Genomic DNA, 20,105 nt, shown 5'->3' on the forward strand with positions numbered 1-20,105 from the left:
AATTTATGTCCATTTAAAATGTTTTATGAAACACTGCCTACCAAGCAGGGCCTGGAGATACTGAACTGGTGAAAAAGGTTAAAGCTAAATGTTTCCATTATTAACCAAGAGTCACCAAGATTCATCTTATGGTTCCCCTAGAGTGGACTGTCAAGATCCAACCAGGAGAATAAAAGAGGGGACCCATCAGAATCCCCCACCCACCTTGGTCCTATTTCTCTCCCATGTCACATCTAGCAGAGCCTGCCTCCTAAAACAACCGCAGGAAGCTAACAGCAGCCCCTGGTATGCCAACCTACCCTCTTCAGCCGCACACCCCATGCTCCCAGCCCAGCCCTGTAACCAGATCTCCTTCTTTGCATCAGGCAAGTCCATCCCGGACTTCTTCTAGAGAAAGAACTAGAAAGACTTTTTCTGCAGGAGTAGCAGCTGCTGCTGTTGCCTCTGTTACTGGTTCCAGGAAGGGCCCCAGCCTCCTAGACAAAGGAGCCCATTTTCCGTATTTCATCTGCAAGTCCATTATGCTGAGTTAAGTGGCTGGGAATAAACACCCATCATTACCCTACGCTAAGCGATGTTTGTTAGCATAGAAGGTGACAGAAATCTATATCACGCTGATGCACTGTTAATACTGCATTATGCACACAGGCTCTGTGCTCCCCACCACAGCTGGAAACTGGCCTGGGCAATTCCTCTTCCAGAAAAAGCAAGCTTCATGGTTAATTGACCCAGAAGAAAAGGAGGAGATAAGCCGCTTGCACACTCTGATGTCCCAGCTAAAGAGACAGTGCACAGATCTAGCAGTTCCAGCTTTGGTTATCTGTGCAGATGTTCTTTGCCTTGTGGGCTGATATGTTAGAGGGGAATGCATCAAGCAGTTTTCCTAGGGAAAGAGAGTGAGGCCAGGAACTCCACACTACTGCTCTGTAGCTAAAGAGGGGTAAGAAAGGGTAGGTTGTCTGCTCTATCCCCAGGGCCTAACAGAGAGTGCCTGGTACTTAAGAAGGGATCAGTGGATGTTTGTTGACTGACTGAAGGAGTAAAAGAGAAAAGGAAGTTGAAGAGAACCAACAGAGATGGAGTTTTGGCAATGTCATGAGAGTGAGGGGCCAAGACGACGCCAAGACAGAGCTACCAGGTCAGCCAGGGAGGATGTAGGACAGATCTAGGAAAGAAATGGGAAGGGGTGACCAGCCAGGAGCAGCTGAATGCACATCTATAGTTTAAAATCTAGAAACTCATGTGGAAAAATGGATTCAGCATGGAAACCAGCTTGAAAGTGACATGTAGGGAAAGAGAAAGTGTCAACAAGACTTCTGGGAAAGTGAAAAGAATTAGGATGCCTGGAAAGGTGGGGTTCAGGGCTGACATCATGGAGAATCACCCTGACAAGCTGCCTTTGAAATGCTGTGAAGGCATGGACACATTGGTTGGTACCAAGAGGTGCCAGTCTTTTAGTAAACATGGCAATTGGTCTTTGACCGATGACAGCTTAGAAGTGAAGTATGCTCACTATTAGTCAATGTGAATATCCAATAAGAATTACACAGTCATCAGTTACCGGTATACTTTAGAGCAGAAGAGAGAAAGGTTGGTACAATCACACGTGTGTGGCCACACACACACACACACAACACATACACTTCACCAGGCACACCAAGAAGGACAGTGTGCATCCACAAGTGCCAGGAGACCCTCGGGCAGGAGCTGATTGGTGAAAGCCAGTCTAATGTGAAATGCAATGAACCTCACTTGGTATAACCATTCACTTTTGCTATTTCTTATGAAGCTAAACATATTCTTACCACATGACCAGGCAATCACGTGTCTAGATATTTATGCAAATGAGTTAAAAACTTATTTCCACACAAAACCTGCACATGAATGTTTATGCAGCTTTATTTATAATTGCCCAAAAGAGGAAGCAATGAAGTTGTCTGTTACAGGTTATGTCCCCCTCAAAAAAGCTAGGTCAAAGCCCTAACTCCCAGTGCCTTACAATGTAAACTTTATTTAGAAATGGAGTCACCGTGGATGTGATTACTTAAGTGAGGATAAGGATGGGCCCCTAAAACTATATGTCTGGTGTTCTTACAAAAAGGCAGTCTTATGAAGACAGAGGGTTGGAGTGATGCAGCTGCAAGCCAAGGGATGCCAAAGATTCCCAGCAACACCACCAGAAACTAGGAAGAGGAAAGGAAGGATTGATTCCCTTATAGGTTTCAGAGGGAGGATGGCCCTGTCAACACCTTGATTTCAGACTTTGGGCCTCCAGAGCTGTGAGATAAAAAATTTCTGTTGTTTGGGGCCACCCAACTTATGGTACTGTATTCCGGCATCCCTAAGAAACTAACACAATGCTTTTCACTAAGTGAGGAAATAAAAACTGTAATACAGCCATACAATGAAGTACTGCTCAGTGATAAAAATAAATGAGAATCGCTTGAACCCGAGAGGTGGAGGCTGCAGTGAGCTGGGATTGAGCCATCGCACTCCAGCATGGGGACAAGAAAGACTTTGTCTCAAAAAGAAATAAAATAAAATAACTGAGCTATCAGGCCAGGCACGGTGGCTCACGCCTGTAATCCCAGCACTTTGGAAGGCCGGGACGGGTAGATCACTAGGTCCAGAGATTGAGACCATCCTTGCTAACACGGTGAAACCCCTTCTCTACTAAAAATACAAAAAATTAGCCAGGCGTGGTGGCGGGTGCCTGTAGTCCCAGCTACTCAGGAGGCTGAGGCAGGAGAACGGTGTGAACCCAGGAGGTGGAGCTTGCAGTGAGCCAAGAATGCGCCACTGCACTCCAGCCTGGGCGACAGAGTGAAACTCCGTTTCAAAATAAATAAATAAGTAAATAAAATAAAAAATAAAAAAATAAATGAGCGATCAAGCCAGGAAAAGACATGGAGGACCTTAAACATATATTGCTAAGTGAAAGAAGCCAATCTGAAAAGGCTACACACTATGATTCCAACAATATGACATGTGGAAAAGACAACACTATAGAGACAGTAGAAAGATCAGTGGTCGCCAGGGATTGAAGGGTGTGAGGGGATAAACAGATGGAGGACAGCGGACATTTTGGACAGTGAAATTATTCTGTCTGACATTGTCATGGTGGATACATGACACTATGCTTTTGTCAAAACCCACAGAACTTGTCCAACACAAGCAGTGAACCCTTCTTAAATTGCGGCTTTAATTAATAAAAATGTATCAATAGTGGTTCACCAATTGCAACTAATATACCATAATTATGCAAAATGTTAATAATAGAGAAAACTGTAGTGACAGGTGGGGACTTAAAGGAAATATGTGGGTGCTCTCTGTACTTTCTGAAATTGTTGTGTAAATCTAAACCTATTCTAAAACTGTTCTTTAAAATAAATAAAAATTAACCCCAGGGCCAGGTATCACCTTATCTGAAGGCAGTCATGGCCCCTCAAGAACTTGATTCTATGGAGAATTCAGAGAGGGGTAATAAGTGCCAACAGCCAGACCCAGGTTGGCCCAGCCTCATGACTTCAGAGGCCTTCAGCCAACCCTGAACACCCTATACAGGGCTGTCCTTATCCTAGAAACAGAAGAATGAGCCTCTACAAAACAAAAGAACTGTCCTTAATAGGTTGCTTCCCTTACCTCCAGCCTTGCTGAGTATATGTCAATCACTAGAAGTCTAGGCAACGAGATTTGATAGGGGAGGGATGGATGCTGGAGGTAGCGGGTCTGAGTTTAAATCTCAGGCTCTCTCTTGTATGATCTGGAACAAGTAGCTTAAGCTCTCTGAGTCTCAGTTTCTTTAGCTATAAAATGGGAGTAGTAGCTCCCCCTCAGAGAGCTAGTTAAAGATCGCATAAGAAAAAAAACATAAAACACCAGCCCAGTGCTTGCTCTAAAGAGGCTGTTGATACAAATCAATAGTATTTTCCTTTTCCTCTCTGTGAGTTTCTTTTTCTTTTTCTTTTGAGACAGAGTCTCGCTCTGTCGCCCAGGCTGCAGTGCAGTGGCGCAACCTCGGCTCACTGCAAGCTCCGCCTCTCGGGTTCATGACATTCTCCTGCCTCAGCCTCCCGAGTAGCTGGGACTACAGGCACCTGCCACCATGCCCGGCTAATTTTTTGTATTTTTAGTAGAGACGGGGTTTCACCGTGTTAGCCAGGATGGTCTCGATCTCTGGACCTCGTGATCCCCCCGCCTCGGCCTCCCAAAGTGCTGGGATTACAGGCGTGAGCCACCGTGCCTGGCCCCTCTCTGAGTTTCTAGAGAGCCTGGGCGTGGAGTCATCTGACACATCTTAGTTAGCACCTTCTTTGACCCTAGTTCCATGCTGTGGTTTCTGTTGAAAATAAAGAATTATGACACTAGGAATAAACTCAAAGTCGGGTTTGGGAAACAGGACATGTATATTTGAGAAACGGCAGGCTGACCTATGATTTGGCTCAAAGTCATTCAAGACTGGGGCATGGCACTGACTAAGCTATGGGTTAGAAGGAAGGAAGGAAAGGTCCCATTGCGATAGCATGGGGCTAGGAAGAATTCACAAGAAGCGAGAAATGAAAGAGGTGTTAAAAGACGAACAGGGTGTGGAAGGAAAGGAGAGGGAGTGAGGGTGAGGAGGGAAAATGGGCATTTCAAGGTAGTGGCTGGAGGTGTGGGAATGATGATCTGGAAAGAAGGAATAAAGGCTGGTGAGTCATCAGCAGAAAGCTGAAGAAGAGAGCAAGACAGGAAGGGAGGGAGGGAGGGCACAAGGTGCTCTCAGTGGTCCTGCAGCAGGGGGCGCCATCCCATGTCTTGGTGTTCAGCTATGGTTGGACGTGAGCCCATGAGGGTGGAGACCATGTGTCTCTTGTTCCCCAGTGTTTCCAGTGCCTAAAAGAAAGGCTGACACAAACCCTCAATAAACATGGATTAAATAGACAAAAGGGGAAAAATCAGCACAGTGGAAAGTGACTCGGATGCTAAGGAGGAAAGGAAGCTCAAAGGAACATGGTCAGGTTTTGCAAAGTGATCTTGGATGGAGAGTGGAGGGGCTCCTGGGGAAAAGAAACAGATGGACCTTCAGGACAGAGACCTACAAGAGGTGTGGCGATGGGCAGAGGAGCAGACAGACACTACCTCAAGGGGGAGAAGAGAGGAAAGGGCGGGCCAACCAGGATGGAGACAGGCCATCTTTGCAGACCCAGACTGGGAAGGCTGGGAGGGGATGACTCTGGGAAGATGGAGACGCTGCTTCCTCTGAGACAGGGACAACATGGGAGCAAAGGCTGACAAGGACACCCAAGGACAGAAGGACGGGGCAGAGGCAGTTGCCTCTCCCCAGATGGTCTCTGTTTTCTCAACCAAGAGTATGGGTGTGGGGAGAAAAGGATGAACAGAGAACCCTGTTCATCCTTAAGATTAACCAAGAAGCCTTTCAACTGGCTTATGGGAAAAGGCCAATGTGTGACTCCTGAGAAAGCAGCAAGCAGTCCAGCCCTCATCCATGAACAACTTACTGCAGTCCAGAGCTGCCACATGGGTGACAAAGGTAACTGAGGGTCCAATGTTGCTACAAATAACTTTTAGCTTCTCCCAAGTGACCCATCTGGACTGGTCCCTTGACTTCTCATTCTATCGGACCTGGCCCAAAGTCTAGGGTCCTCAGCTGTGTGACCAGGAGGGCTGTATCCATTTCCTGATGCTCTCAAGAACCAGAGGGCTATACAAAAATAATGAGGGGGGCTTTATTAGGCTTTGGGTTCTGTATACATTGCAAACTAGGAGCATCTTTATTCCGCTCTTTCGGAATCCCTGGAAAGGCTAAATAAATGCAGAATAAAGACAATGTCAAATGCAGAGCCCTTGCTGGGAACATAGGTGTGGGGATGCAAGCATCTGATAAGGGATTGTACCAGGTGATCTCTAAATATCCTTGCAGCCTGACATGCTAGGAAAAATGCTATGGACCAGATTGAAAGCAGATAGAAAGTGAGAAGCAAGGAGAGGACCAGCATCCTAATCATTTCCATCAGAAAGATCCCACTGTTTATAATAAATACATAAGTACAGAAAGAAAAGCACATTTGTGCTTAATCCATCACTGGGGGGATGGGGAAATAAGGGGTGAAGTCAGGTAGCATTATGTTCATGCAATTCCACCCCACATTACACATTTTTAAATGGGACAAAGAAGGGAATCAGAATGAGGAGACCCCCTGGGGGATTCACAATGTGAGCATTTTTATTCTCTTAACCTTCCTGGTTCTTGCCATCCCCCTAAAGGAGTGACCCTGGCCTTATCTGCCACACCATAAATACTCTCCACTTATTTATATGCCAAGATGCATGTGGCTTTAATTATTTATGATAGTGGCTCATCGCACACAGGGATGTGTCTTGGAGTCTGTTCCCTCGACTGATGAAGGCTTGGTTAATCAGAGACCTGCTGCTGGCTCAGCCAGTAAATCTCTGCTGAGGACTGGCCTGGGTCCCCTTTCACCCTGTCTGTGTGAGTCACCAAAGGATTAGCAGAGGGAGGATTAGACAAATGCAGCTACAATGCTCCTGCTCATTGTCTGTCATGCCACTCATGTTTTCTGAAAACAATTAGGAGCCATTTGCTGTCTACTGATGGAACAGAAAGTCCCACTTCTTTAAAAGGGCTACTTTCCCCAGCATCAGAGGGTTCTGATGATCTGGAGTCATCTCATGATTTTCCTCTGATAAGGCATTGTTTGTTTTCCCCTGCTCCTTCAAGTCTCATCAGTAAACCTGCTGCCTTCCCATTTTCACCAACCTTTTCTTGTTTACACTGAAGAACCGTCTGGATCCTGAGAATAGCCACTTTGAATCACAAATCTAGAGGGCTCTAGAAGGAAGACTTCCTCCACATGGTTTGCCTAGTGGGATGAGTCCTTGGCTATGCTTTGTTTTGACACCAAAGGATGTTCACCAGGCCCCATAGCTCTCTCCATGGCTCCCAGGCTTCCATGGGGACACTTATTCTGAAGGCCCAGAGGAAACTTGCCTCCAACACACCAGAGAGTCATCCCATCTGGCAACTGTGCGGATAACCTGGTATCAGGAGCTTCTGTGAGCAGATATGATCACGAGATCATATTCTGCACCAGGAATCCAGAGCTTCCACTAAAGAGGACAGAGGGATCCTCATTATTCACAGATTCTGTATTTGGGAATTCACTTACTTTCTAAAATTTATGTGCAGTGCCAAAACCAAGACTCAAGGCACTTTCCTGGTCATTTAGGGCCATGTGTAGAGTGACAAAATGTGACCTTAGAGGCACGTTTCCAGCTGAGACTCAACAAGGAGATATCTGCCTTCTTCCTTTTTAAAAAAAAATCATTTATTTTAATTGGAAAAAAAAAACCTGTCATCTGTCATATTTATCATGTACATTGTTCTAAAATTCTTGTTTCAACTCTCATACTATAAACAACTACCTTTTTTGTGGTCTATTCCAGACCACATTTTTTTACACTTTTGTGCTTGTTGCTAGTGACTATGCAGTTTGGTAGGGCCCCCAAGCATCGTTCTGAAGTATTGGCTAGTGTTCCTTAGCTTAGGACAGCTGTGATGTGCCTCACAGAAAAAACACATGTGTTAGATAAGCTTTGCTCAGGAAGAGTGACAGTGGCCATGGCCATGAGTTCAATGTTAATGAATCAACAACATGTATTAAATAAGGTGTCTTTAAACAGAAACATATGACAAGGTTATGTATTGACTGGTTGATAAAATGTGACCCGAGGCTCACAGGAACCTAACCTCGTGTCTTCCCTAGGAGCAATGGTTCAGTGTTCACTAATTCAGTGTTCACGGCGACTTCACAGAACACAACTGATACAGATAATGAGAACCAACTGTATATTGAACATAGCAATGTCTAGGTCTCTGCTCAAATATCAACAGCACCCTAGGAAACTCAGTATCAACCCTAGACTGAGCTTGGACCCAGCTATCACCATAGAAGGTCCTTCCTCCCAGTCCTACCCAGGCCAGTCCTGGGGTGAGCCTGATCTGAGACAGGAAATTTAGCCAGAAGTGAACTAATCTTTGTTCTGTGCTTCCCATGGTTTATCTGAAAAACAGGTATCTCTCTTCCTTGCCCAGCCGTGGTTCAGAACCCAGATGTCCTTTTTCTGATACTGACAGGGAGCATCTGATACACACTGAGACAGATTCTGGAGAACACCCAAGGTTAGGAGGCAAACGATGACCTTATGCTGACTCAAGCCCACTCCCTCCCACTGTGGCAATGCTCTCCTAAAACTCAGAGCCAGGGAAATGAAGCAAAGGCTGATGGGGGTAGCCCAGTGCCCACTCTGCTGTAGGATGAACCAGCAGGAGCAGCAAGAGTTCTGTGAGCTACAAAGACTGTACTCCAAGTACAGAGAGCTCTGCCCAGGGGCTGAGCAAGACCAAAAAGCGCCTCTTCCTAGGCCCACCCTGCAACCCACTGAGACATGAAAAGAACCCACTGTCAGGAAGCCTGGGGCAGCCACCCAGAGCCTCGGTATTCCTGTCTGTAAGGTGAGGCCTCAACCTAGCCGATCACTTCTGTCCTTCCAGCTCTCAGGCAGGCATGGGTGTCCCTGTTCTCCAGGAGCTGCTGTGCTCTCTCTTGATGCAGTGGATCATTTCCTGGGGACAGGAAGAGTAGGAGGAGCGGGGGTCTGCTTGGGTGTTGCTGGGCCCAGATTGAACCTGGGCACACAGCAGGAGGAACCCTGCTGGATGGACAGACAAGTCATTGAGGCTCCAGGAGCTCAGAGGGGGCCTAGCAGGGCTCAGCAGAAGGACAAGGAGAGGGGTTGGAACCAACAGGAGAGGGGAGATGAGAGGGAAACAGGTGCCCTGAGCCCTCTGGTCTGAGTGAGACATCTGCAGTGGGGAGGTGAGAGTTCCTAGCGCTGGGGCTGTGATCTGATTCTCAGAAAGTGCACACTTCGGGGCACTGGAGGGGCAGCTAGAGAGATGTTTCCATTCAAAGGTACTCACTGCCCTTTATTCCCTTCCCCCTCATGGAGGCTTGGGTGGAGGTTCTGGTGAGCTCAGGGGCTGCTGTCTAAACAGAGTCAGGTTATGTTTCCTAGTTACATAGGCCAGGTCTAGAGAGAAGAACAGCCTCTCTGTGTCTCCTGCCTTATTGGGAGCACCCAGGGTCCTGCTGAGCCCAGGTGAAGAAAAAAGGGAAGCAGATTCAGACCCACAGGACCCCCTTCGCAGAGGACTCTGGTCCCGGGGACTCCTGGCTCAGGCTATTCTTCAAGTTTTGAAACAAACAGGGAGGGTCTCTTAGAAAGTGGGAGGTTGGCAGGTAGCAGGTCACCCTAGAAGGTTCCAGAACCCCAGGTACATGGTCTATCACCAACCACCCTCCCCTCCCCAGGAGGGAGAGCATTCCATCCCAGTACTTACACGTGTCCGGCTTGTGGCAGTTGTGTCCCTGACGGAAGTACTGGGGGTTCTCAATGACAGGGATGCGAGTCATGCCAATGACCACAGTGTCGGGCCCGGCATCCAGTGACGAGGGCGTGGTGATGCCGTGGTTGATGTGGTGCAGTGGGCTGGCTGAGTCCTCCTCACCACTGATGACAGCCACGGGACCTGCACACACCAAGAGAGACGCAGGACCTGGTGACGTCACATCCGGCCAGTTTCCAGCCCTGTCCACAGACAACCCCCAACTACTGTTCCCATCACAAACATTTTCTTTTTTTTACTTTTGGGGGGTGTGTTATATATATATATATATATATATATATATATATATATATAAATTCAGTTGTTTGGGTTTCTGGTGTATTTTAGATATTAACCCCTTATCAGATATACATGGCTTACAATTTTTTTTCCATTCTATAGGTTGCCTTTTTTTTTTCTTTTAAATGAAATAGAGTCTCTCTCCATCACCCAGGCTGGAGGGCAGTGGCGCCATCTTGGCTCACTGCAACCTCTACCTCCTGGACTCAAGCGATTCTCATGCCTCAGCCTCTCGAGTAGCTGGGATTACAGGTGCCTGCCACCATGCCTGGCTAATTTTTGTATTTTTCGTGGAGACAGGATTTTACCATGTTGGCCAGGATGGTCTCAAACTCCTGACCTCAAGTGATCCACCCACCTCAGCCTCCCAAAGTGCTAGGATTACAGGTGTGAGTCATCATGCCCGGCCCACATTTTCTTTATTAGCAAAATCCACTGGAAGCGTATTCCTCGAATGCTCTGTATTCTGAATTCAGAGAACCACCCTAAATTCTCTTTCTTGAGAATTACTCACCTATCAAACCATGGAAACAGCTGGAAAATCAAGGTAAATTTAAATGACCCTGGCATAAACTATTTTCACTTTCTCCCAAGTCCAAATTAGTTCAAAATAAGAGTTTTAAATACGTTTATTTTCTTATGTAGCAACAATAGGATTTTAAAAATGACCTAGCAGTAGTGTGCACCCTGTACCTCCTCTTCTAGGGAGCTTTAACAATGTCTGATGCTGGATTTCATCCCCAGAGGTTCTGATTCCATTGGTCTGGGGGTGCAAGCTGGACATCAGATTGTGAGAGCTCCCCAGGTGAGTCCCATTTACAATCAGGATCAAGAAACTCTGATGAGTGGCTCAAAGACCTAGAGCCTCTCCAGCTGGCCACCAGACTCCCAGGGGAGTATCCTCTATCTTTTACTGCACTCAGCCATCAACCCTCCCTTGTTCACAGGGAGGTAAGTCCACTGTGGGCCTGGACCTAAGCTGAGCCAAGTTTTACAAATGACAGTAACGAAGCTGCATCATGATCTCCATACCAGCAGCTGGGCCAGCTGCCCCACTCTTGAAATATCACATTGACCCAATGGCTTCAAAGAACATCATTTGTGTCTTCATCAACCCCAGTTCCACTCCCACTTCTTTCTAACCCAAAGAAGAAATCCAGTAAGGACATACAGTTACTCAAAAAGCCCAAGATGGCAAAGATAATTAACGCTGCAGTCTTGGTAGAAGAATGCTTCTGTTTGGTGCCGTGGTTCTCCCATACATACAAATAAAACTCCTGTAAAGTGAATTAGCTGTGACTGTTTGTGGCTTCATACAACTGGCGTTTTGAATGGCTGCTTTGCTAGACACACAGGCCCCAGACAAAGTGCCTGCTGTGATTTGGTTTTGCAGCTTGAACAATATTTCCACTGCAGAAATCCATTACATCTTACTGAAGTTTATGGAGAGAATATTTCCCATCAAATAGCGAGGTGAAGCACCAATGAGGCAGAACTAAATGGGAGACTGGTAAATGCAAATGGAGGACCCTGAATTCCACTCCATCAGCACAGACAGGCTTATTCCAATCCATGACAAATATCTGACTGTGTTTGGAGACCGTATGGAAAAGTAGCTGTAAGTGGTTGCCCAAATACTCACAATAATCACTTGCCTTGCAAAAAAGAAGCCAGTTCCTGAAAACACCTTGTAAACTTTTTGAAAAACTTTATAGCAAATTCCAGTTAAACAGGGAAAACTAAGCACTGGTTTTTATCCTCTTTCCCTCCTCAAACATACACTAACCATTCCCTCTACTAAAATACAAAAAAGGAAATTCAAAAAATATCTGTGCACAAAGAGAAAGAGGAAAAGTGGTGATAAGAGAAAATAAGATAGTTCAATAATATTTTGGAATTTAAAAAGTCAAAAGAAGAAAGAGGCAAGAGGAGGAAAGAGGAAAGAGTTGAAGAAGAGATGACCAACAGGACTGCAGGGGGAATATTTGCAGGCAGCCAGTTCTGCTGGAAAGGATCACTATGTGAAAGGACAAGAGAGCCAGGAAGGCTGAGGTGGAGTGAGGCTCCAGGCGGGAACAAGGTGCCCCGCCCCCACTATCACCTTGCTCCCTTCCCACAGGACTCTAGTGGTTTACCCAGAGACATTGAACTCAGAAGGCTCAGGAGAGGGCTGGGATGAAGCATGAAGCTCAGCCCCTTCTTCCTGCAACCCTGCCTCCCCATCACACCAATCTCATCTCATACCAGCACCCTGCAGGAGATTAGAGAATACATCTCTGGATGAATTCTCTCAAAAAATACCTCTCGGTATGGACATTTGGAGATCTACCAGTGGAAAGTCAAGCTCATTCTGTGATCATGCCACAGTGAAACCTGCCAGTTGGCAAGCCCTACCCACGCACACAAGGCAGAATCGCACTAGCTTTCTAGGGCTCAATTCCTAAATATGAAGAAGCAGTCAAGATCACCAGGCACTTCAGCAAAGCTCCGGCATGGGAGAGCACAAGACAAGTAGACAATCAGCGACCTGCAGGAAACAGAGGCAATGCAGGAAGCAGAAGAAGACTTTCTAAACAAAAAAAACTACTAATATCCTCAGAGATGTCAGTGAAAACACTGCATCTATACAAGCAAGGCAATATTTAAAACGTGAACAATTCAAGGGTAGTGAAGAGTCCTTGGAAATTACGATCGTCAAAATTTTAAAGTTAAAGGAGAGTGGAAGATAAAGCCAAGAAATCTTCCAGAAAATTAAACAAAGAGGAAAGAGGTGGTAAATAAAAAAGGAAAGATAAGAAAATCAAAGGTTTGATAAAGAGATCCACCATCTAATTAAAAGAAATCCCAGAGAGAGAGAGACAGGGAAAATGAATATGAACAGAAGAGATGAATGGAAAACTGAAAAACTTTTGGAAATTTCACCCAAATTACTTACCCAGTTTCCAGCACAATTAACACAAGTGCACAACTATGAATGTATGTGCACATACACGCACATACACACACACACGTATATCAAGGCACACAATTACAAAATGCCAGAGCCCTAGAGATAAAGAGAAGATGCTAAGAGCTTCCAGGCAAGAGGGATACATTTATAAAGGAACAGCAATCAGAAAGACAATGGAATCATTCTCTATAACAATACCACTATTGTTATTCTACAGAGCAATTCCTTCAACATTTGGATGGGGAACTTTTTAACCTGGAAATCTACACCTAAAAAAAAAAAAAATCAATCCACTCTAAGAACAAAATAAAAGTATTTGCAAATGTGTAAAAATTTGCCTTGCTTGTCCCCGTCTTAGCATGCATCAGGAAGAGGGATGTCAGCAAAACAAGGGGGCAAGCAAGGAAAAGAGGAAGCTGGGGATTTAGTATCATAGAGAGGCAGTCTCAAGCCGCAGGGCTGCGGGAAGGAGGTGTCTGGAGCGAGAGATTACAGAATACAATGATGAAGACAGGATCCATGCCCAGGCTGTCTTGTTTACTCCAAAGCTCACAAGCCTTCCTGCAACTACAGACTACTTGCTTTATTAGAATTGTAGACCACGGAATGCAGGAAGACACAAAGACCACACGCAACAGAAGTTCACCTCCAACCCCGCCCCTTTCTGTTCTCAGCATTATAGGATGTGGATGGTTAAAGTGACATGGAGGAAGGACACGGAAGAGGGAGAAGTTTGAGAAGATACCACATCGAGACTTAAACCTTTTGTGAAAGGCTGTTTCTTTGAATCTGCTCACATAAAGTCCATAGATAGCAAGTAGTCAATGAAATGTTCCAAGAGCCTGGGATCTAAAACAGTCTCCACCTTCTCTACCTTATTTGAGGATTTGAAAAAGCTGTGTTAAGGTGCATAGATGGAAGTGTTCTGCCACAGACTCCCAAGCCACAGGAAGGAATAAGATCACCCAGGAAGACCTGAGAGAGATAAAAGAATAAAGCCAGACATCAGAGCCCTGGGGACCCCAATACTTAAAATGTGGGCATTAGAAGGGGAGCAAGGAAAAAGAGAACTGCCAGAGATGTGAAAGGAAACCAGAAAAGGATACTGTCTTAGAATTCAAAGGAGGAGGCCAGGCGCAGTGGTTTATGCTTGTAATCCCAGCACTTTGGGAGGCCGAGGTGAGCAGATCATGTGAGGTCAGGCATTCGAGACCAGCCTGGCCAACAAGGTGAAACCCAGTCAATACTAAAAATACAAAAATTAGCTGGGTGTGTTGGTGCATGCCTGTGATCCCAGCTACTAGAGAGGCTGAGGCAGGAGAATCACTTGAACCTGGTAGTCGGAGATTGCAGTGAGCTGAGATGGCACCCACTGCACTCTAGCCTGGCAACAGAGCAAGACTCCCTCTCAAAAGAAAGAAAGAAAGAAAGCATTCAAAGAAGGAGAGTGTCTAGAAGTTCAAGAGACAAATACACTGAGGACAAACAGGATTAAGCTTGAAAATGAGCCAACGTGTTGGAAAATGTGTAGGCGACCTTAATGAGAGAAGTTTCCATGGAATGTTAAGGAAAAGTCAAATTATAGTGAGTTGAGGAGTTAGTTGGAGAAATGCTGATGATTGTAATAATTTTTATTATTGAATACTTCCTACACATCAGGCTCTGTAAAGGAGTTAATCTTATAATGCCTCTGTGACATTGGTACCATTATTTTCCCCATTTTAAAGACGGGGGCATTACAGCACAGAGCAGTGACCTGCCCAAGGACAGATGCCTAGCAAAGAAGTGGTGATGCTGGAATTTAAACTCACAGTCTGGCTCCGGAGCCTGTGCTCATAACCCTCCACCAGCACTGCCTCCCTGAAAGTGCAGACTGTGGGGGAAAGAATTTATGCAAAGGGATACTTGATCAATTCTGGTACATTATCTTCCTCATAAGCAGCTGCCTTCAATTGCAGCTCCCCAAGACCCTTTTTAAAGATGTTCCTCTTGACCCTTGAGAATTGGGATGGGAGTGAGTCACCTCATTAGACTCACCCAGATAGATTACAGATAATTCATCATGTCTTCTGATGTATGTCACTGCTGAATGTTCCTATTAAGCTATATCCACAGCGGAAAAGAGCATCGCACCATCAGACTCTTGCCCCATTCCCAAGGCCCTCTTACTCACCTTTGCTCTTCCATAAACTACATTCCTTAAAAGAAAACCCAATAAAAAGCACATAGGCCCATCACTTCAAAGGATGTAAGAGGAAGCCTCTGCAACTGGCCCCTGCCTGCTTGTGTCTGAGTCCAGCAGGGCTCCTTATAGGGCTACGGCTGGCACTGGGTCAAGACAAGTCTTCCTTGGACAGGGCTGTTCTAGGCATGTAGCAGCCCTAGACCTGGGCATGAAAAGCCAGTCTCAGCTTCATCAGCCATAACAAATGCACCACTCTGCGGAGGATGCTGATCATGAGGGAGGCTGTGCATGGGTAGGGGCATGGGGTAGATGGGAAATCTCTGTACCTTTTACTTGATTTTGCTGTGAACCTAAAATCACTCTAAAAATAAAGTCTAAAAGACAAAAATTTTAAAATGTAAAAAAAAAGTCCAGTCTCCCCACAAAACACACACACACATTTCCAAACATCCCCTGTGGTGACGGAGCTGTGCCAGGTTGAGAACCACTGAGAGAGACACCAACATGTTACTCCATGAAACTCTGGCCAGTTCTCACATCACTTGCCTCAGGGGAAAACTCAAAGACCTGTAGCCCCTCTAGGGGAGGAAGCATTTGTTCTCACTGAGATTGTTCTCACCTTAATAACCACAGTGAAGAATTTGTTAAGATAGTGAAGGAGGGAAAAGTAATAGGGGGAAAAATATCTCAACTGTCTGGGCAGCTTTCTTCTATTTTCTTGAAGCTGCTGAGGTGGATGGCAGGTCAAGAGGAGTCAAGCTTTGATGTCTATTGAGCCCTCAACACACACACACACACACACACACACACACACACACACACACACACGCACAGAAACACACAGCCCGCCTATTACCTGTTATCGGCCTCTCTGCTGTCACTAATCCATTCCAAATTACACAATTACTTTGTTATGCAACACTAATAATCAAAAAGAAGAGAAACATTCTCATAGCCTTTCTAGTAAATGCAAGCTTTGGAGAGAGACCCTCAAGGGAACAGAGGTCTGCACAGACTCTCAATATCATATTATTCTCTTCTAAAATTGGTGCCTTGTTTTTTTCTTCAGATCCACGGTGGATTTTATTCTTCCAACCATATCATAACAGAACCATTGGATAACTGGAGAAACTCGATGGCCCTGACAGGTGTCTTTCCCCACAGAATGGTCCATATTCTCTGTCCAGAGGCTTTTCCTCCCCTCCCTGTTCTTCCACAGGGGAAAAATGAGGGTGTAGAGCAAGGAATGGCTCCAATTCCATAAATGGTTTATTCCAAGTTGGGATTCAGGTTCCCAGATGTTTGAAATGCTTGTTCCCCAGTGCCGTAAAGAAATAGCACTTGAACATAAATTTAATTTCCTCAGCAAGGCCGTTTTTATACTTTCTGCAGAAAAGATACACCCACCAGCAGTTTTGCCACGACAATACATTGAACAAAGGAGACAGGGTCATTTATAACCTGACACGTCCACCCTACTGCTGTGTCCGGTTTCCATTGGCTGGAATGGGACCTCACATTCTATATTTGTCATGATTGGCTAGCAACTTAGAACTTTTTAAAAGAGGAAAAGCAGAGGAGAACCAAGGAAGGAGGAAGTAAATTGTGAAATGCTGAGAAAGGTAACAACACCTTCAAATAAGGAAGATGAACAGGCTATGACCTAATGCTTGCTTGGACCAGTATAAGCATGCCAGGGCAAATATTTAGGCTAAATTGTGGGAGCTAAGAACATAAAGTACATTGATTTCTTTATTATGGCTAGCAGATATTTAAGAATGTTAGCACAGGTCTTTGAATAAATTTTGCTTCTAAGAGAAGTTACTATTTATTCCTAATTAGATGGGGAGGAAAGTCTTTGAAGAGGAATCTCTATTTTACTTTTTACACAGAGAAAGCAAAACTTTCTGATGGCAACAGTGGAGAGGGAACTTCACTGCAGTAGCATGAACTTCCACCCAGGTGGGCTGAGCCCCAGTCCCAAGAGAGGAGCCTGGGACAACAAGTCACCATGAGGACCTGTGGGTACACCACCATTCTGCAGAAGCCTTTGGTGACTCCAGGGAAAGTTCTTCTCAGGGTTCATAATGCAGAAAGAGAGGGGGAAAGAGGTGGGTCACAAAAAATGAAGGAGGAAAAAGGAGCGGCCTCCCAGGGAATACACTGATACATCAATACTCACTCCCTCTTTCAGATCAGGGGAAAGACTGCCTTGGAATTATTTTCTCTAATGCCCTACTGTTGGCTCTAAAACTCCTTTCTCTTCCAGCAACTCTATGACTTACAGATCATTGACAATCCTCAGAAATGTGGCACCAAGAAAATCCAGCCACTGGCCCAACCCTAGGGCATTTGCCCAGCCAACGTGTAGAAGTGGTTCTTCTCCAAATTCCAAAGGAGTGACAGAACCCCAAGGATGCTGGGATCCCTGTGGTTTACAAGAAAAGGAAAGATGGAGGGAAAATAAAACTGACATTAATTAAATACCAACTACATGCCAGATATGTTGCTGGGCACTTTCTTCTCATCTCATTTGATCCTCAACAACTACCATTATTCTCATTTAATCAACAACAAAACCTATCCTCAAATAAGTTTAAGTCATTTTCAAAAATCACCTAGTCAGGAAGTGGTGGAACCTGTATTTCAAGCCATTTTGTTTGACTCCAAAGTTCTGCGTCTTCACACCAAACTACCCATTTTCTCAACAGTATGGCTGACACCAAGTATTTTTCACAAACAAAGAGTGCTTGGTGTGAATACATGAGCCTATATACAGAAGGCGATATGCCAGCTCCCCTGTGATTGGGGCTAAATCAGTGCATCTAGGGATGGACTGCCAAATATTTTCAGGGTTGGACCAGCCCACATAAAATAGCTCTGGGCTGACAAGTCCAACAGATAGACTTAAATTGTACAATTCCAACTCCAGAATCGATTCCTGTACTCCTTCCTTTACACTTGTACTTCCTTCCAAAGTAGGGTTGGGGGGCAGCAATCTCACTTCCCAACTCAGAAGCCCTCTTGGGAGCTGTGGTAAGCATGACTGCTATTTATTGAGTATATCTAGGCACTCACTAGGACTGCAGTTTTGTGGACCACCTTGAAGTTAAACAGTACCCCCATCACTTTCTTTGGAATGAAAAGTAAGCAGAAGTGAGGATGCATCACTCCCACGTGGAAGCTTGAAGATCCAGTGTGACTTGTCACATTCCCTTTTTCCTGGGTTGGCATTTGTGGAAGCATGAAACAGAACCCCACTCAGCCCCAGTCCCTCAGTGAGGCCAACTTAGACGCAAGGGCTCCCGCCAACACCTGGCGCAGCCATGGTGACGTGCAAAATGCAGCACCATTGTTTTAAGCAGTTGTGATTGGTGGGGGTGCTGTCTATCACATCTCCACATTTACCAATGGTACTTTAATTTCTTCATTCAGACACTTCGCGTGCATCACACCATCTTCAGCAAGTCTCCGCAGAAGTCCCTCATAAAAAAAAAAAAAAAAAAAAAAAAGGGCTTGTCGTCCTCAATGATATAATCCATTTTTAAAATGCCTCCTCCCCACTCTCTGTCCCAAAGTTGAGCTCAAATCTTCAATCTTCTGTTCCACAGAGTCAGATCATGACCACTTAGATCTGACTTGGGTAGCAGAAGCAAATAAGCCTGCATGGGTCTCATGCTTTTTTTAATGTGTCAGAATGAAGCAAACAAGCCAACCTTTGGATTAAGAAAATGATTTTTTTAAAACCTCAACCTTTTCCTACTGATAGAAATCAAACACTGACATGTCCCTGGTGGGCGAGAGCTTCGCATCAACAAATCTGGGAGCAGGAACTCATAAAACGGAATAAGTGGAAGCACAACAAACACAATTAAAAATCCAGCCATGCTCAGAGAGGGATTCCATTTACTGTCTCATAAAAAGAGGCTGGTCCTCAGAGGCAAACAAAAGAAAATCAATTTCTTAATTTTTATTGGCAGATGTGGGACAGAGGCCAAGTGAACACGGGCTGTGCTCAAGAACAGACCTGGGGACTAGTCATGGCCTTCTGTTCCTAGACTTGTTCCTCTGGGCCCTCCCCTCTCTGCCTCCTCCGGCTTCCAGACAGACTCTGCCCTCTGTGGTCTCCGGGGCACATGGGGTCCTGCAGGCAGCACAGCAAGGCCTGCCCTCCGCACTTCTCCGCTCCTCTCCCTGAATCATTTCCCAAAAGATAAGCTTTATTCTCTGGCTCGAATTCCCTCCCAGCCTCTTACAGGAACCAAAGGCGTTGTTCATGCCTCGCAGCATTCATAGCTTGGAGGTATCACTTGGTGATTGAAAATGATGTTGCTCATCAACCAGCCCAAGAACACGCACTTAAGGAAGGGGAAGGCAGGATGGGTATTTGGACTCAGCTTCCCTTACCTCCCTTAATCATCACCACAACCCTGGGGGTAGATCCTCTTATCCCCAGTGATGTAGTTGAGGAAATTCAAGCTCAAGGCTTCATAATTTGCCCAAGATCACACAGTTAATAAATGGTAAACAGATCCACGTCTATCTGACTTCAAAGTCTGGGCTCATTTCACTGCAGCACCTTGCTGCCCCACCCTCCAGTATTGTTTTTCTAACAACAGGACAAGTCAGCCACATTCTCCTTCCCACTCCCAACCTTTACTCTCTTGAAATTCATTTGTAAGAGAACTGGCTTTGTTTAGGAAAGAAGCCCATGACATTTCCAGTAAACTCCAAACCCACAACTGTGGCATAAGGATGTAGCTGTCAGGGGCAACCAGAAATTCATAGCACAGGAATGGCCGGCAGCAAGGGGTCTGAGAATGTCAAAACAAGCATCCTGGAGGGAAGGCAGATGCCATCAGACTTCTCCAAAGACTCTTTGTACAGACAGTATTTCAGACCATCCCAGGCATCAACAGGAAGTGAGTAGTTACCTTCTGATTGCACGTATAAGGTGACTGGAATACAAAATGCTGGGTTTTTGGCCCGAGGCCCCATGAAGAGATCATAGTTCAAATTTCAACATGTCTAAATTCAGTTCTAGCCACTATGGCTTGCTAGTGTTACCTCAAAATAGAGACATTTATTTTCCCTAAAGATTTATCTGTAACTTTCCCCCAACTTCCTGGGGACTTTTGAAGACTGGGAGGAAACATCACTTGAGGTCATGCAGTGCCAGGGGCTGCCATGTTGAACTGCTA

The 20,105-nt window shown here is 45.4% G+C and overlaps 1 protein-coding gene across 27 annotated transcripts in view, besides 2 other annotated features; it reads right to left on the reverse strand.

Annotated features, from left to right (window-relative positions):
* NTRK3 (neurotrophic receptor tyrosine kinase 3) overlaps window positions 1–20,105 on the reverse strand; it is a 396,989-nt gene that overhangs the window by 163,682 nt on the left and 213,202 nt on the right. For 26 of the 27 annotated variants that reach the window (XR_001751292.3, NM_001243101.2, NM_002530.4 and 23 more), the window contains 1 exon segment: window positions 9,425–9,613. Coding sequence is in view for 26 of the 27 variants with exons in the window: in NM_001243101.2 (NP_001230030.1) it covers window positions 9,425–9,613 (189 nt within the window). In the remaining variant the exon portion in view is untranslated. 27 annotated transcript variants of the gene reach the window in all.
* Window positions 12,500–13,311: an enhancer, noted in NCBI's record as "OCT4-NANOG-H3K4me1 hESC enhancer chr15:88579163-88579974 (GRCh37/hg19 assembly coordinates)". NCBI's record gives its function as "activates a minimal SCP1, AML or CMV promoter by ChIP-STARR-seq in naive H9 embryonic stem cells {active_cell/tissue: H9 hESC(naive)}" and the evidence as "EXISTENCE:reporter gene assay evidence [ECO:0000049][PMID:30033119]".
* Window positions 13,312–14,121: an enhancer, noted in NCBI's record as "NANOG-H3K4me1 hESC enhancer chr15:88579975-88580784 (GRCh37/hg19 assembly coordinates)". NCBI's record gives its function as "activates a minimal SCP1, AML or CMV promoter by ChIP-STARR-seq in primed H9 embryonic stem cells {active_cell/tissue: H9 hESC(primed)}" and the evidence as "EXISTENCE:reporter gene assay evidence [ECO:0000049][PMID:30033119]".

The sequence above is a fragment of the Homo sapiens genome, chromosome 15 (assembly GCF_000001405.40).
Source record: "Homo sapiens chromosome 15, GRCh38.p14 Primary Assembly".
NCBI classification, from domain to species: Eukaryota; Metazoa; Chordata; class Mammalia; order Primates; family Hominidae; genus Homo; species Homo sapiens.